The following is an 18,270-nucleotide window of genomic DNA, read 5'->3' on the forward strand; positions in this document are numbered from 1 at the left end:
GGGATTTCCAGCAGGGGAATGACTTGATCAAATAAAACATATCATTTAAGCCTTTACAGAATTAAAGCCATTTAGTTTCTCTGGCTAGACAAGCATAAACTGAAAGAAAAAAAAATCAGATGTTTTGAAAACAGCTAAATTTTCCTTCTGAAAGAGCATGCTGGATGCTAATTCTACTCTTGAAGCTGCAGCTTTCTCTGTAATCAGCTCATTGTGGAAGCATTTTGACTCCTACTGGGAAACCTTGATAAAAGCCTGAAGCCTGTGTTCACAGGTCCAATTTCAAACAATTAGTGAGCATTGGGATAAATGGGGCTTTAAAACTGGCCACAGCAAGACCAAAGTAGTAGAAGGTTCTCTCTCAGAAATAATCTCCATTTGCAGTGTAATTAAAGCACTTCAGTTGGGGAGTGGGTTTTACCATTAAATTGCACAGCTGGCTCTCCTTTTCTGAGAATGTTTTATCTTAAGAGGGGATAAGTGGGTATGTGCATACCAATTGGCCAATGATCAGTCTCAGCTTTACACCCTTGTGCTAACAGTTCTTTACTCAGTTTAACTACAGATATGTTGCTAAATGAGCAAAGCTAGATATAAAAGAATACATTATGATGCCAAATAGTAATAAACATGGAAATGTTAATATTGGATTTTTGGGTGTATTATGGATACTTTTTATTTTTATTTTTTCTGTATTTTCCAAAGTTCCAGAATGATAAAGGATTACTGTTATTATGGGGCAGAGGGAGCAGGAGGGCATGAAGGAATATTAATTATAGGGACAACAGTCTTTCTTATAATGTAAGTCTGTGAAGAAGGCTGTGATCGTTGAAGAGTAAATATAATAGAGATTCAAGGTTTGCAGGATTCTAGATAATTTATGGTTTTGCATACACAGTACAGAACTTGTAAAACAGTTTATTCCTTTTTGAGAAGGGCATAATCTTGGATTTGTGAAGTTCCTTTTTTTCCCCCCTGAAAAGCTCAAGTGTGCTTGAATGTATTCTCTTTATAAGATGGAAAGGAATAGAACAATATGCTCCCTATTTTACAAATGGGAATGCTGAGGCCCTAAGAGCATAGAGTCATTTGCTTAATATGACACTCTGAGTCAGAGGCACAGTAGAGACCATCACCTAGGCCTTCTTTTCCTCCTCATTGAATTTACTGACCATTTCTTCTATTGAATTTAAGTATTATCCATTCAGAATAAAGGTTTTGACTCAGGGGCCAGTCCACAGCTCAGAATGCAACAGTCTCTATCTTTAGGGCTTTCTGATAACTGCCATTCAGTCTTTGGATTGCTTGTGAGAACTATAGAAACCAACAAGGTCATCTGATTATAAAGGGACTGATTTGACAGGACAGAAATGGCAAGTGGCAAGCTGTTGGCAGATAGCTCTGCAGAAATACCAGGGCCAGGCAGCAGCTGTCACAATAGGGTAGTGGTTGGGTTCATTTTCCAAAGCTCCAAGTTTTCCTTAGCAACAAAATGTAAACAATTCCCATTGCTAATATTAGAGTCTAATAGTGTCTGACTTTGATTCTTTTGTTTTTCCTTTAGCTTTTTCTCTCTCACCCAACCCTGAATTTTACCTCTTTTTTAATTGTGCTCTTTCTTTTCTTTGTAGAAATGGTTAAAAATAGTTTTTCTCCACAATAAGCTAAAATTGTCTTTCCCAAATAGCTCACATTACATATGACTCTGCTTTGCTTGGTCAAGATACAGTGAGTACTGGCTGAGTCATATATACCACACTTATGGACCTTCTTCAGTCCCTTGGGGTCTTTATAAGCTAGGTAGTTATACCTACTAATGTGAAGCTGTCAGCAGATTAATTTGGCATCATCTTTGGAATGTTCAAAATTTAAACCAAGAATTTAAACTCTGAGTTATGGTTTTTAAAAGTCATTTGATTTGTTCCCCTGTGTCCAAGCTAAAGACTGGCAGTTGTCAATTCAAAAAGGTACTCAAAGAGGTTCCACAAACGACTCCAATCTTTCTCCAGTTTTGTTCTAAAGTGATTAGTTATCTAAAAGTCTGCGGCCATGCTGCCATTACCAAGTTTTTTCTCTACTGATAGAAATAAGCTCTCTCTTCCTAAGTATGAATATTGAACAAGAAGAGAGTGAAACATATGTAGCAGTGGGTACATTTTCTACTATATTACAATTCTGGAGGTCTCTGGATTGCTTATAGAATTAGGATTATGCTGTGGGACTCTGAACAATTCTGGAATAGAAAGAAAAAAGGTGATTCTTTTAGTGCTTTGGCCCTAATCCTTAGGTAGCAAAATGACAAGAGGCTTCACCAGGCTGAATATGCCTTACAAACAAACTGCTTTCAGTGTCATATGGCACCTCTATGTAATTTTTTTTCAGAATATGTCTCTTTGAAATAATAGTGATGATATGTTGCTGCCTGAGAGATGAGGCTACCCCTAGATAACTGTGAATGGCTAGACTTAGTGGGAAATGCACAGGATTGATTTAAGAGTTCCAGTTCAAATGGGGCATGGTGGCTGACACCTGTAATCCCAGCTACTTGAGAGGCTGAGGCAGAAGGATCACTTGATGCCAGGAGCTCAAGACCAGCCTGGGCAATATAGTGAGATCCCCATCTCTTTAAAAAAAAAAAAAAAAGAATAGTCCAGTTCGGCCTTTTATATGTGTGATTTTGGTTAAATAAATCAAGTTCCGTTTCTGACTCTTTCCTCATATGTAAAAAAGGGATAATGCTTACCTTGTTTGCATGTATTTGAGGATTAGAAATAATTTACGAGTAACCTAGATTTTCCCAAATCTATCTCATGGAGCTATTGTGAGGATCAAATGAGACAGACTATGTGAAAGTGTTTTGCAAACTACAAAACAATTTAGAGATATATATGACAATTATTTATGTCATTACCAGTGAAATGCTTTTTTGACTTTCATTAAGATCCATTCCTAGCTTTTCCAGAGCTAATACATTTGGAAATAAGATCCACCCTAAAATGCTAAATATTAATACCATTTTAGATTTTAGGGATGTTTAATTTTTAAACCCTACATGCTATAGGGATTCCATATCTCAAGTTTAGGAGACTTAATTTTTAAATTTAAGCTCACTTGTCCTGCCTCTGATGTCCTTACCAATTATTTATAATGTTATACATTATTTTCTGCAGCCCTAAGGGAAAATCTCCATTGTGGTGACAAAGTAAGTGGCAGCCATACACAGGTACCTTCTTATGCCTTTTCTCCCCTCACCAAGCAGTGTCCAGGAATCTAAGCATTTGAACATTTATATGAGGCAAGAGCTAGTGAGCTGAATGTGATAATGGTAGCAGTTGACCCTTGCAGGAAAGTTTGAGCCTGGGCCTCCTATCCCAGTGATATTCTTTATGCTAAAAATATTAGTAATTCCCTCCCACAGATTCCTTTCCTGCCTAAGTGAGGTCAATTTCTGTTGTTTTGCAAACAAGTACACTCAATACTATGCAGTAGTGGATATTTTTGATACTAAGGTGAGCATGTTTTAAAATCGGTTATAGTGACGATTGCATAAATCTGAATATACTAAAAATCTTTAAATGGTACACCTAATGGGCATGTGAATTATGTCTCAATAAAGCTGTTTAAAAATAACATTAGTACTGTTAATCTCCACCAAACAGTTCTGGGAAGGGAGGCCTAGATGGTGTCTACTAAGAGTTAAAGCAATGAGATTTAGAGCCTTGAATAAAAGAGTCTATTTTCTTTTTTCCGTATTTCTGTTGCTAAACACGGCTGTTGCCAACACCATCTCACTTCATTTTCCAGAGATAAGGGCATTTGTCATGCGTTTCTCAGCCCACCACTTAACAGTTCAGGAGTGGAAGCTTAAAGTGTTTCCCCCTCCCCCTCAGGACACGTGCATTTAGAAGAAAGGACAAGAATCCATTTCCTTATGTAGCAGAACCTCTGATAGTTCTATCCCAGTTCCCAGCCACTTCAGAGTGAAGACAGTCACCCAACACCTGCTACTAAAAGCCCTTATCAGCCATGTTTTTGCGGTTAATCTCCTTCTGATAAAGTGGTTCATTTTTCAGAGCTGTGAATATTGGTGACATGTAGGAGGGACCAAAATTTTCAGCCCTCATTCAACCCTCCCTTGTTTTTTATCAGTTGATTTTCCCATGTTAGAAAAGGACAGTTGCTGGTACAATCTCATAAAATGGGCTCCAGTGTTTAGAGAAGGACAGTCAGAGGAGTGGCCACCTGTTTGTTGAAAATTGGGCTTCTGGGAAAGTTGCTGCACAAGTGTGTGGCAAGGTGTGTCTGAGATAGCTTGACCTGCTTTCACCTGGAATGATTTGATCTGGCAATAGAGTTCCTTGCCATTCCTGGTTTTATGGAAATCAGAGGCACAGGAAGTTGATCTGGGTGTTCTGGGGAATTGAGACAAGCCTCTGCCATAGTTTGTTAGTACTCTGTGTTTGGATGCTAACTCCAGTGTGCTGAGTTGAGACATCAGCAAGTGCTGGGCCTGGAATGTCAGAAGCAGCAGGTAAAATTTCTTTGTTTGATAGCTTTAATGTCCTAGATGCATGTTTCTTTGGGAAACTGGCTTGGTTGCATACTTTGATTTGGTGGTATGGTTGGGGAAGTGGGAGAAGGCAAGTGGTAAGAATAAGATATAACCAGTTTGGAACTTCTCTAGTGTTTCTTCACATTACTAATGAATTTAAACATGTGCACTGACTTATAAACATCAGACCCAAAAGATTAGGGTAGCAGAGGACAATTAAGAGTTTCAAGAAGTAGAAACATGCTTCTCTTTTAAAGAAGAAACTGGAATTGGCACTGTTATTCTTAAGTTGGATAGTAAGACACAGGTGATGGTTTATTATTCTTTATATCTTTTTTGTTTGCCTTAAATATTATATATGTTTTAAATAAGTAAAACAGAAAAAAGTATTGTTGGATATTTAGGGCAATTACAGAAAGAAGCTCATTTACATAGGTGAAGGGGCAGATTGCAACTTGAGTTGGCCTTTGAAATTATAAAATGAAGAGACTAGTTCAATCAGGTATGGGTAAAAGTTATTTACTTACTACACACTCTACAATCAGATTGAATATTAATGGAAGTTAATGTTTTTCCATGTGTATAAGATGAGAAGTTTCCTAGTTGATCTTGTTCAGAGGACCAATTTCTGGACAGAATACAAACACATGCTGAATCAGGCAATATAGAAAATCCTGCTGATCGTTAGTCATTTTAGTTCTGTAGAGAGAGCACTCACCAAACTCTGAATTCAGCCTACCCAGGACTATACTTTTCTCTCTATTTTTCTTATCCCTTTCTCTCAACTCTTCTTCCTGGTAATTGCGTCACTTTACTCAGGTAGAAAGATTAGGCCTATTTCCTGTACATTTTACTTTCATGACCCTCTTCCTTTGTCCATGCGTGACCTTCTTTCTAGAATAGTTTTTTCTCACCTTCTTTGCTTAACAAAATTGTATTCATACTGTAAGAACTCCTGCAAATTAAAACCCACTACTGACTACCCTGCTACACCTGAGCCCCAGGCTAAAACTAGTATTCTGTCTTCAGTGTTCTTTTTTTGTAACACTGTCTTAGGATTGGTTTACTAATTAATTAAATGGTATGTTGTTGCTTTTCATTACTACATTCTGAGCTTCTTTAGGGTGCTTTTAATTGGGTTTTCTTCACAGAGCCTAATACATAGTAGATGATGGGTAAATGTTTATTGAATAAAATTATTTCTCAAATGAAAATAAGCCCATGTGTAGTGATCTTCTATGCCCATAAGATGGCAGCAGAAGAACGTCTATTGATCTACTTGAGTGTGAAGCTAGCAAAGACCGTTTTGTGTTTGGATGAGTTCGCAGATGAGCCTTTCTATCCCATTCCATTTAAGTGTTTTAATATAGGGAATGCAGATTTTTTTTGGCACATGAAGGCCCTTTGTGCACTTTCACCCTGGCACTTCTTCACACAAGAGCGACAGGTACAAGGTATAAAGCTCCCTGGATTGCAAGAGAGGATACCTAGTTTACTCTCCAGCTAAGCCCACAATTTATGCCTTCTCAGGCAAGCCATTTAACTTCTCTTGTTCAGTTTCTTACTCAGCTAATTGGTGGAGTTAGGAGATCTATAGGGAATATTAGATTATAAAATAATAGCATTCTAAGTCATCAGTGACTGCCTTAGTTGTGTGCTCAATATTGTGTTAAAAACTGTATGATAAAAAAGGGACATGCCCAAGTGCTCTCATGATCCAAGACATCAAATGTACACATAGTAAGGCATGAGTGTATATTAAGGAATAATATGTCCTTGAGAGCAAAATTGTGTTTAGGTAGGTATATTAAGAGTTCAGAGAAGATGAATGGTATAGGATGGAGTAGTCAGAAGGGGCTTCGTGGAGCCAGAGGAGATTGAGTTGGCCTTTAAGTATATGAAAGGTTTAAATGCTGTAAGAGAATTAATGTTTTTGAAAACTTACTATAAGCCAAGTACCCTGCTAGATGCATTTAATCTTTGTAACTTTGTCAGATAAGTAATATTCTTTTCTTAATTCACGTAAGAGAATGCATTGAGGCTCAGCTAGGTTAAGGAATCTGTCCACAGTCACAGAATTTGTAATGAAAAGCCAGAATTCAAAACGAGGTATTTTGGACTTTGAGGCCCATGCTTGCTCTTCTACACCTCCAAGAAAATGTGTCCAAGGGGTCAGTCTTCACTGGATATTTGTATACCATGAGCTTGGCAATATAAGCACAATGGTTAGAATCTCTTGATATTTATTTGAAGGGAAAGTAGAACTTCTAGGAAATGAGTCTTTGTATAGGGAAATATCACTTCTGAAAGTGAAGCAAATTGAAAACTTGCTAGCCTCTCTGAAATCTAGATGGGAAATAGGGTTTTTTTGTTTTTATTTTTGATTTGAGAACCAAATGAGAGGTTGTCTTATGGGTCATCTGGCTGTCCAGGGTTGGCTGAGGTTGCTGAATATAAGAAGCTTATCTTTGGGAGAGTTCCAGAGCCTTGGGCAGGCATATTTCTATTTTAAGAAGTATTTTTAAAAATGGAATTGGCTGACAGCAATTACCTGAAGGCTTGTTTCTGATTCTTCTTTAAACAGTGATTTTTCTTCCTCTTCCTCAGAGTCTCTTAAATAATACTGGATAGTATACTGACCTAGCTTTTAAACTTATTTTTTCTAAGGAAATCTAGTCTTCTAACCTGATAAAGGGAACTAGAGTATGATTCACAGTCCTTGCGCACTTGTGCTGAAAATGGCTCATTAATCATTGACGTGTAAATAAAATATAGTAATAGCTCAAGAATCCTTTGAGAACTAAATTTCTTTATAATGAAACTGACAGTGTTTAATAGAACACTTAGCATACAAAATTCATAAACATTGGGAAGCAAAACTGCAAGTTTAGCTCTATCTATTACAAAAATACACCTGCACAATGATTTTATTTGTCCTTGACAGTTGTTTATTTTTCCTGTCGTAATAGGATTCACCTTTGACCCTGCACTGCTCTCTAGGGTTACCATGTCTCACTCTTCCCTTCACTGTTAGTCTTGAAACAGTCTTCCAATTTCACTTTATCCATTTCCTGGCCTTCTATTCATTGTTCAACATATTGAAATAGAAATTCTGCCCCACCCCCCAATCCAGTGAATTTTTTCTGGCAAAGGGCCCTGTAAACTTCCTAATTACTAAATTCCTTAGTCACTTCATCTTTTACCTTGAATCCTGGCAGTAATTTATAATGTTGACTATTGCCTTCCTAAATTTTTATTCTACCATAACCTCTCTGATATTATTCTTTCCTGGCTCACTTCTACCTTTTCTGATTGCTCCTTCTTTGTGTTCTTTTTAGCCCTTTTTTTTTTCTGTAAACACCTTAGGCATTGTTCCTTAGGCTTCCTTCTTTTCTCTCCTTAGGACTCTCCCTAGCTGACCTCATCCATTCTGATTGCTGCAGCTAGCACTCAGATCTCTCTCTCCAGCTCAAACTTCTTTGCAGAAGTTCATTGTACTACATGTAAAGGACTTACTTAGGACAGTGCCTAACTTCATGTAGGCACTCCATAACAATAGCCATTTCTGGCTGTTACTTTATCTCCTTATTTCTTATTTCCTTTATTTATCTATTTAAAGTATTGTTATAGGCATGTATTTCTGTAAGAATTCTCAAGTCCTCTTTAGAAAGAGGGAATAAGCCAACAGGTAAACCAAATCTTTCTTTCCTCTAGCCTTAAAAAGGCAAGAGAAAGTCTTTGTTCTCACTTTTTTTTTTAGAAATCTCTGCTAATTGTCTTACATGTCACCCAACTGAGAACTTGGAAATCAAACTAGAAGGCTTTTCATTCTTTACTTCTCATATTTAGTCTGTCACCAAGTCTTGTCTGTCATTCTCCTTAAGAATCCTTCAATTCCATCTTCTCCTCTCTTTCTGTTAACTCAGGCCCTCCTAACTGGGCCTTCCTCTCCCCTGCCCCACCCACCATTCCACCATCTACAGTGCAGCATTAGTGATCTTTCTTATATGCAAATCTCATCCAATCACTGACTCCTGCTTAAAATCTGAGAATGGTCCTGCAAGCAATGCTGTCCTCCCTTGTTTTGTAGGATGTCTCTCTCTTTTTTTTTTTTTTTAATTATACTTTAAGTTTTAGGGTACATGTGCAGAACGTACAGGTTAGTTACATATGTATACATGTGCCATGTTGGTGTGCTGCACCCATTAATTCGTCATTTAGCATTAGGTATATCTCCTAATGCTATCCCTCCCCGCTCCCCCCACCCCACAACAGGCCCCAGTGTGTGATGTTCCCCTTCCTGTGTCCATGTGTTCTCATTGTTCAATTCCCACCTATGAGTGAGAACATGCGGTGTTTGGTTTTTTGTCCTTGTGATAGTTTGCTGAGAATGATGATTTCCAGCTTCATCCACGTCCCTACAAAGGACATGAACTCATCCTTTTTATGGCTGCATAGTATTCCATGGTGTATATGCGCCACATTTTCTTAATCCAGTCTATCATTGTTGGACATTTGGGTTGGTTCCAAGTCTTTGCTATTGTGAATAGTGCTTCAATAAACATATGTGTGCATGTGTCTTTATAGCAGCATGATTTATAATCCTTTGGGTATATACCCAGTAATGGGATGGCTGGGTCAAATGGTATTTCTAGTTCTAGATCCCTGAGGAATCACCACACCGACTTCCACAATGGCTGAACTAGTTTACAGTCCCACCAACAGTGTAAAAGTGTTCCTATTTCTCCACATCCTCTCCAGCACCTGTTGTTTCCTGACTTTTTAATGATTGCCATTCTAACTGGTGTGAGATGGTATCTCATTGTGGTTTTGATTTGCATTTCTCTGATGGCCAGTGATGATGAGCATTTTTTCATGTGTTTTTTGGCTGCATAAGTGTCTTCTTTTGAGAAGTGTCTGTTCATATCCTTTGCCCACTTTTTGATGGGGTTGTTTGTTTTTTTCTTGTAAATTTGTTTGAGTTCGTTGTAGATTCTGGATATTAGCCCTTTGTCAGATGAGTAGGTTGCAAAACTTTTCTCCCATTTTGTAGGTTGCCTGTTCACTCTGATGGTAGTTTCTTTTGCTGTGCAGAAGCTCTTTAGTTTAATTAGATCCCATTTGTCAATTTTGGCTTTTGTTGCCATTGCTTTTGGTGTTTTAGTCATAAAGTCCTTGCCCATGCCTATGTCCTGAATGGTATTGCCTAGGTTTTCTTCTAGGGTTTTTATGGTTTTAGGTCTAACATTTAAGTCTTTAATCCATCTTGAATTAATTTTTGTATAAGGTGTAAGGAAGGGATCCAGTTTCAGCTTTCTACATATGGCTAGCCAGTTGTTTTCTAGGAAGTCTCTTATTCTCTTTAGATTCTGCCCAGATCATCCCCTTGCAACATTTTATTCCTGATACTCCTCAGATTTCCTCTCCAGAGCTATCTCTTTGTGGCAATTTTTGTCTTAAATTTTAATTATCAGTACTTAATATGTCCAGCTCCCTTACAAGATCTTGCTTCAGAACAGAGCATTTGGAATAGGTAAAGAAGGGTAAAGTGGTGGCTGGGCACGGTGGCTCATGCCTGTAATCCCAGCACTTTGGGAGGCTGAGGCGGGCGGATCACCTGAGGTCAGGAGTTCAAGACCAGCCTGGCCAACATGGTGAAATCCTGTCTCTACTAAAATACAAAAAATTAGCCAGGCATGGTGGCGCTTGCCTGTAGTCCTAGCTACTTGAGAGGCTGAGTCATTTGAAACCAGGAAGCAGAGGTTGCAGTGACCACTGCACTCCAGCCTGGGTGACAGAGCAAGATTCTGTCTCAAAAAAAAGAAAGGGAAGGTAAAATGGGAAACTGGTTGAATAGAATGAACAAAATGAGCACATGAACCAGTACACTATTGACCAAACTTTAAAAATGGTAAATAAATATGTAGGGAATTAGGGTCAACTCTAAAACAAAACTGAATAGCTCAGATTCTGAATTTCATCCATAACCTTAATTCAGTTCAATAATTGTTTTAGAGTACCTAATAAAGGGTAGGCACAATGCTAAATTTTAATGATGTAATGATAAAGTGTAGTCCCTACCTTCCTAGAACTTCGAGAATGGTGGTTAGTTGTGGGTAGAATAGCACTTTTTTTTGTTATAATCTACAGTTTAGTATAGTGGCCAACATCTGACTTAATGAGCTAAGGCAGTTGTTGGTTTACATATTACTTTCTAGTGTGAGAAAATGTCAATGTGTTTCTTCAACAGTGAGTTTTAAAAATAACTATTGGGTACTAGGCTTAGTACCTGGGTGATGAAATAATCTGTACAACAAACTCTGTGACATGAGTTTACCTATATAAATAAATAAAAAATAGAAGTTAAAAAAAATTTTCCTTATGCTAGGACTGGGGTGACTACCAAGTAGCATGAGTGAGTTTTGGAGGGTGACAGAATTGTTCTGTATCTTGATTACAGTGACGGTTATGAGACTTTATGCATTTGTCAAAATTCGAACTCACAGACCTATTTGCTAAAAAGGGCAAATTTTACCATATGTAAACTTACCTCAGGAAACCTGACTCAAAAAAGAAAAAAAAATATGCCACCGAGTCTTAGAGGAATTTGATTCATCTGCAAAGTAGGGTAATTGGAAATTGAAAATAATGGACTTATTTTAGAGGCTTTCTCTGAAGATAAATCTAATTTAGGTCTTTTAGGGAGTTCTTTCTTTCTAGATCCTTTCCTTCATAATCTGAGCTAATGGAAAGTTCAGAAATCCCTGAAATTGCTAGCCAAATTTTGTGTATACGTAAGTGCTTTTTTAGGGGTAGGAGATTACATTTCTTATCTGATTGTTAAAGATGGGTTAGATTTCAATAAAGGTTAAGAACCGCAGGTTTAAGAGCTTTTCTGCTTCCCCAGATACCCCCTTTTTCCCCATTGGAGGCCATCCTAGTGATTACAGGAGCTGGAGACCGATTTCTAGGAGTTGGTGAGAGTAGACGAGTCTGTGAATCTACTGGTCGTAATACAGAGAGTCCACCTATGCTAACACGGTTCTTTTCCTGATTGCCTACTTACGCAAGCTAGAACTCCTTTTTCTACCACTTCTGACCTCTATTCTCTCTCTGCCCCCTATGGCGGACCAATTTTTTTCTGGCATATTTAGCTTCCTTTAGTATTTAGCATATACTGAGGAGTACCTGTGCTTTCTATATCACTATGAACTATGGTAATAAAAAAAAGTGTGAAATACAAATACATCTCTTTTATGTATATCTTACTGTTTGGAACAGTCCTTTAAATATGAATGATCATTTTTCAAAGTTAAAAGTTTCTAACCTTAACTTTTAAAAAGTTTACAAAATTTCCCACAGTAACTGTATTTTAAATAGAAAATAAAAATTGCCCGTATTCTCACCATCAGCAGTATCACTGCTAACATCTTTATATATTTTATTTATTTTGAGATCATGCTATATATGGTTTTTTCTTTTAAAAGATTATTGGCCAGGTGCAGTGGCTTATGCCTATAATACTAGCACTTTGGGAGGCAGAGGTGGGACGATCACTTGCACTCAGGAGTTCAAGACAAGCCTAGGCAACATAGTGAGACCTCATCTCTACAGAGAATTATAAAGAAAAAAAAATTTTAGCCAGGCCTGGGAGCCTGTGCCTGTAATCCCAGCTACTCAAGTGGCTGATGTGGGAGGATCACTTGAGCCCAGGAGGTCGAGGCTGTAGTGAGCTATGATCATGCCAGCTGTACTCCAGCCTGGGTGGCAGAGCAAGACCTCATCTCAAAAAAAAAAAAAAAATGAACAAAAAGTTACCAAATATCACAAACACCCAATCTCTCCATCTTCTGGTCTGATCAAATCCCAATATTTTGCCATATTTGCTTCAGTTATTAAGAATAAAATATAGCTAAGCTCCTGTGTATCTCTCCTCAGTCTCATCTCTTGACTCTCTGCCTAAAATTAATCACTATCCTGAATTTGCTATTTATCATTCTCAAATTTTTATCACTATTATTTTTCATTTGCATACTTATATAATTCTTTCACATGTTTTAATACTTTATATAAATGGTATAACCTGCACACATCATTCTGAAACTTGCTCTTGTCACTTAGCATTCTGTTTGTTCATTCTAAATGTTTATTTTAGTCCATTGTACAATTATACCACAGTTTGTTTTTGTTTTTTTCCTGTGCTGATGGACATTTAGGTATTTAGGTCTTTTTTTTTTTTCTTCCCCTAATACTAATGATGCTGCTGTTTACATTCTTGTTCATGTTTCTTACACAAACGTGCAAGAGTTTCTCAACAGTATTTATTTCCAAATGGAATTTCCGGGTCTATAGGGTAAGTGCATCTTCACTGGACACTGCCTGATTGCTCTCCTCTTTACTCTCACCAGCAATGTACGTGAGTTTCTCATTCTTTTCAACTAGGTTAGACTTAAAATGTTTTTTTTTTTTTTTTTTGCTGCTACTGCTTTTTTGGTAATCTAAGGAAGATGAAATCATTTCTCATTTTAATTTGCATTTTTTTTATTACTAGTGAAACAACATTTTCTCTTATGTTTATATGCTTTTCTGGTTTCCTTTTTTGTGAATTCCTGATTATGTATTTTGTTGATTTTGTTGTTGTCATTAGGTTGGTTCTTTTTTAAAAAATGGGTAAAAGTTTTTTTTTTTTTATCCAAAATGTGTTTATTGAGATGGTTTCCCACTCATCTTGACTCAGAGTGCTTTTAGTGCTGCTTCCTCCTGAAGGAACATCCTTCTGTAAGCCTTGCTTTTCCTCCCGTAGGCTGGCAGAGGACAGTGGAGCAGCCAACACACAAAACTACCGTTTGTGCATGGCTAAAGACCGTGGTGATTTTATAGCATCCTGGGCATTTCACATCCATGAAGTAGGAATTGGGGCTCTGCACCAGGCGTTTCTTCTTGTGTTTCCTCTTCTCCTCTTCTGGAGAGGGATGAAGGAGATCCTTTGTGAGAGGCATGTTCTCATGTGCGTAGGTCATCACCGCCGGAAAACAAAAGTTTTTTATATATTCCAGATATGAATATTTTGGAACTTACATATATATAGTACTTTTTAGTTTGTCTTTTAATGTCTATATTTTATCATATGAACGTTCTTTATTTAACCATTCCCCTTATTGTTTGATATATAGGTTATTTCCATATACATTTTGTGTGTTTAGTTTCTTGAGCTGTCTTGTTAAAAAAAATGAGTGGTGGTGCTGAATTTGTCTTGGTCTAGTCTACTTTGTTGTAAATGATAAATATTTGAGACAGTTGGCCAGGTCCAGCTGGTATAGCTGATGTATGTGAAATAAAGCAGCACTCACTGGCCTTGTTGGTGCTTGAATCTGCCATTCTTACCATCGGTAACACTTGTTCTGACCAGTGAACTAACTGTAGAGTGACCTATGTAAGTAAAAACATTGTCATTGTGAAAGTGGCTTTGGCACTTGAGGCTGGCATGTTTTTAATGGAACAAATGTTCAGATGGAAAAGAATTCAAGATGATATAGTAGTTATCTAAGATAGGTCACAGAAACACCAGACTCACACTTTCTCTAAAGCAAAAGGACTTCTCTGAGCCATAGCTTGGTGATAAATAACTTAGTGTCTAGAGCAGGGATCAGCAAATGTTTTCTGCAAAGGACCAGGTAGTAAATATTTTAGACTTTTCAAGCCACATGGTTTCTGTTGCAACTGCTCCCTTCTGCTGGTGTAGCACAGCAAGCAGTAGTCACACAGCCTTGCCTATTCATTTATGTGTTGTCTGTGACTGCTTTGGTCTCACAACAGAGCTGTTGAGTAGGCCTGCGAAACCTGAAAGATTTACTGTTTGGCCCTTTACAGACAAAATTTGCTGACTTCAGCCCCTGCAAACTCAGCACTCTTGACATTTGGGGCCAGTTAATTATAGGTCTAGATTTAAGAAATGCTTAGTTTGGCTGAGGGAAATTCTTTCTTAAAAAATTCTTAATGGAATTGTAGCTTTGATTCGTTGCTTAAACATCAGCTCTGATCTCAGTGTCAAATTAGAGAGGCCAAAAATGACACATGAGCATTTGAATGCAGTTGTCCTAAACTATGAAATCAGATCATATTTTGATATGTGACACATATTAGATCTAGAAATCTTCCTGATCTGTAGCTAGCTTATCAAATTGAGTGGTATGTACACTCTTTCTCTATCTAGGTTTAACCCATTTATAGCAGATATGAAATTTGTTCCTGCATTTCTGTGTGTCAGGTGTTCCTTTTTTATCTGTCTCTTCACAGCTGTTGGCATTTGCTAGCTGGCTATGCCTGAGCCTCAAGTGAGGCAGTATTTACAGCTCAGTTGGATGGATGCAGCAGCTAGGGTAGCTCAAGGGCAGATGAAATAGGATCCAGAATGAGAATGCTGCATCTCTCTTTGCTCTGTCTTCTTTCACATGAGGAAGAATTTCTCTCTTTCACCTCCCTGTCAAATGAGAAGTAGTATTGATTGGTTTGGTACAGTGTATAAAACATGCATCTAATGGAATGTTATTTTGGGAACTATTAGCAGCATTGGCTCTGCCGAGGCCCAAGATTTTGCCTTCTTTCCCTTTTCTCCTCCCCTTCCTTCTCCTCCTCCTTAGTAGCAGCTCCTTAGCAAATTGCAAGCTTTGCCTCTGGCTTGCTGTATAGCAGTGGCAGTGCAAGCCTTTTCCAGTTTCCAAGGGAGACCGGGTGCTGAGACTGCAGTCTTTCCCAGCAGCCACTTACCTTTCTTGCTATTCATTTCCACGCATCTCTTGACCTTCGTTCTGCTATGCAGGCCTGCTCGAGGAGGTAACAGCCTGTTTTCTTGGAGCGCTCTTTGTCAAAGGGGGCAGAGGGAAAGTAGGGTGGTACAGGGAAAGGTGTACAGAGACAGCAGAGTATAAATGCTGCAGTTGGGAAAAAGTAGCTCTAAAGTGTGCTGTATCTGTGGGCTTGTTCCTATTTGCTATATCTATAGAACTGTTTTAAAGGTGGGAACCCCAGCATTATATCGTACTACTTAAAGTACCACATATAAAAATGTAAGATTACTGTAATACTGCCTCCAGGAAGCATAGGAGAAAAATGAGAACTTTGAGAAGAAAATGGAATCAATTGCTTTTAAACTTAGCTGACTAACAAATTGCATTTTTTTTTTTTTTGAGACAGAGTCCCACTCTTGTCGCCCAGGTTGGAGTGCAGTGGTGCGATCTCACTGCAACCTCTGCCTTCCAGGTTCAAGTGATTCTCGTGCCTCAGCCTCCCCGGTAGCTAGGATTACAGGTGTAGGCCACTATGCAATTTTTTCTGTTTTTAGTAGAGACATGGTTTCACTGTGTTGGCCAGAATGATCTCAAACTCCTGGCCTCGGGTAATCTGCCCGCCTCGGCCTCCTAAAATGCTGGAATTATAGGCATGAGCCACCGCGCCCAGCCACAAATTGCATTCTTGATGAAATTTTGTTAAGTTTATGTTTTATGAGTTGGATCTGGTTTTCAGGTTTGAGGAGAGGGCTTGATAATATTGTCTTTTAATTGGATTCTCGGGACTTCTAGAGCTGTGGTGTGCAGTATGGTAATCAGTAGCCATGTGTGGCTACTCAAATTTAAATAATTAAAATTAAATTTAAAATTTAGTTCCTCTTTTAACTGCTCAGTGACCACATGTGACTAGTGGCAACCATATTGGGCTGTGCAGGTATACAACATTTCCATTATTACACAAAGTTCTGTTGGTCAGTACTAAAGAAAGTAACCTATGAAATATAAGAAATGTAGTATTTGGCCAGACTGAGAATAGACATTTAGTGAGGAGACTTAGAGGCCGTTTGTTCAGAATCAGTATAAATTTGGATTCACCATGGTTTAAAGCTAAATGGGATCTTTAAAATTTTAGATTTACCCCTTTGTTTTACAGATGAAGAAAACTAGAGTTCCAAGAGATTAAGTGATTCTCTTAAGACCAAACAAGTAATTAATGGCAGAGCTAAAATTAGAACCCAGGTGCCTGTTCTTTCTATTGTACCATAGTATTAGCCTCCCGTTCCCAATTAGGAACAGCAAGGAAAATTTGAACTAAAATTTACCTCATAGGGTCCTAGCAACTGTAGAGTCAAATGCATCCTCCAAAGAAGAATTTATCCCTAATATTTTTAATGTTTATAGTTTGTTCATGGCAGTCTTATAGCATGTTGACGGAAATTTCTAGAAATGTAAAAATCATACTTTCCCAAGAATGGAGTGTTGATTATGACAGACTTTTGGGAAATGTCAGGGGATGCTAGGAGAAGTTTAATGCAGGACATTGTTATCCATTAGTTCCCGATATTGCAGGATTTGCTAGAAGAAATGTCTTGCTACATAAATCTACATAGCTAGAAATACCATGGTACTGAGTGGAGGAAACAGTGTTCATTGTGGTGCAATATAAGAAAAGCTGTACCTGAAGCAGGAGAACATGGTTAAAATCCCTTTAGGTATATAACGTTGTTACTTGGGTGTTTTAGCATCTCCTTAGGCCTTTATTGACTCATCCGTAAAATAGGAATACATTTTTTGTGTCTACCTGAAGTCTTAGAATTAGATCAAATGACATCTTGAATTCATAAAGTCTGTAGGCATAGGTCTGTGATTCCCGTGATCCCCCTAAGTCTGTCCCCCTGCCCCGGCCCCCAGTAGCTATCCATATGTACTTCCAGGTTGATATTAAAGAAGGTTTTTTTGGGATCTCTGAAGAACTTTTGTCGATGTAATCTTATGTTAATACACAGGACATTGACTGGGCATCGTGGCTCATGCCTGTAATCCTAGCACTTTGAGAGGCTGAGCCGGGCAGATCACCTGAGGTTAGGAGTTCGAGACCAGTCTCGCCAACATGGTGAAACTCCATCTTCTCTATTAAAAAATGCAAAAACTAGCTGAGTGTGGTGGCATGCGCCTGTAGTCCCAGCTACTAGGGAGGCTGAGGCGGGAGGATTGCTTGAACCCAGGAGGCAGAGGTTGCATTGAGCCTGAGATTGTGCCACTGCACTCCAGCTTGGGCAACAGAGTGAGACTCTGTCTCAAAAAAAAAAAAAAAAAGATATAGTTCAATGAATAATAAACTATCTTATAAGACCATTAGATATTCTGTAATTAATGACCACAGCATCCTCAGTGGTCAGTATTAGATATATACTATAAGATATTTATATAGTGTGTCTTTAATTATGTTTTTATATATTATAAGCTATATAATATATAAATATAGTAAATTTCTATGGCCAGGCTGTGGTGGCTTACCCTGTAATCCCATCACTTTGGGAGGCTGAGGCAGGGGATCACTTGAGGTCAGGAGTTTGATACCAGCCTGGCCAATGTGGTGGAAACACCGCTCTACTAAAAATACCAAAATTAGCTGGGCCTGGTGGCACATGCCTGTAGTTCCAGCAACTCGGGAGGCTGAGGGAGGAGAACTGCTTGAACCTGGAAGGCAGAGGTTACAGTGAGCCGAGATCACGCCACTGCACTCCAGCCTGGGAGACGGAGCAAGACTCTGTCTCAAAAAAAAAAAAAAATTTTTTTTTAGTAAGACATATACTACAAGATACATCTATAAAAGCTATATACTCAACTTAGTTCCTTTCCTGTTTGGAGTGAACATGTTTAAATACCATTCTCTCCTCAACAGATTTGAGGTATAGGACTCTAAAGCTA

The 18,270-nt window shown here is 38.2% G+C and overlaps 1 protein-coding gene and 1 pseudogene across 19 annotated transcripts in view, besides 1 other annotated feature; one reads left to right on the plus strand and one right to left on the minus strand.

Moving 5' to 3' along the window:
* PPP1R12B (protein phosphatase 1 regulatory subunit 12B) overlaps window positions 1-18,270 on the plus strand; it is a 244,004-nt gene that overhangs the window by 109,868 nt on the left and 115,866 nt on the right. For 2 of the 19 annotated variants that reach the window (NM_032104.3, NM_032103.3), the window contains exon 1: window positions 4,148-4,531. The exons of the other annotated variants lie outside the window; for them this stretch is intronic. The gene's annotated coding sequence lies outside the window, so the exon portion shown is untranslated. Of the gene's footprint in view, window positions 1-4,147; window positions 4,532-18,270 lie in introns of those variants that run through there. 19 annotated transcript variants of the gene reach the window in all.
* Window positions 1,275-1,569: a silencer, noted in NCBI's record as "tiled region #7043; HepG2 Repressive non-DNase unmatched - State 23:Low". NCBI's record gives its function as "represses a minimal TATA promoter and a strong SV40 promoter by Sharpr-MPRA in HepG2 cells {active_cell/tissue: HepG2}" and the evidence as "EXISTENCE:reporter gene assay evidence [ECO:0000049][PMID:27701403]".
* RPS27P8 (ribosomal protein S27 pseudogene 8) lies at window positions 13,240-13,584 on the minus strand (annotated as a pseudogene).

This window comes from Homo sapiens, chromosome 1 (assembly GCF_000001405.40).
Source record: "Homo sapiens chromosome 1, GRCh38.p14 Primary Assembly".
NCBI classification, from domain to species: domain Eukaryota; kingdom Metazoa; phylum Chordata; class Mammalia; order Primates; family Hominidae; genus Homo; species Homo sapiens.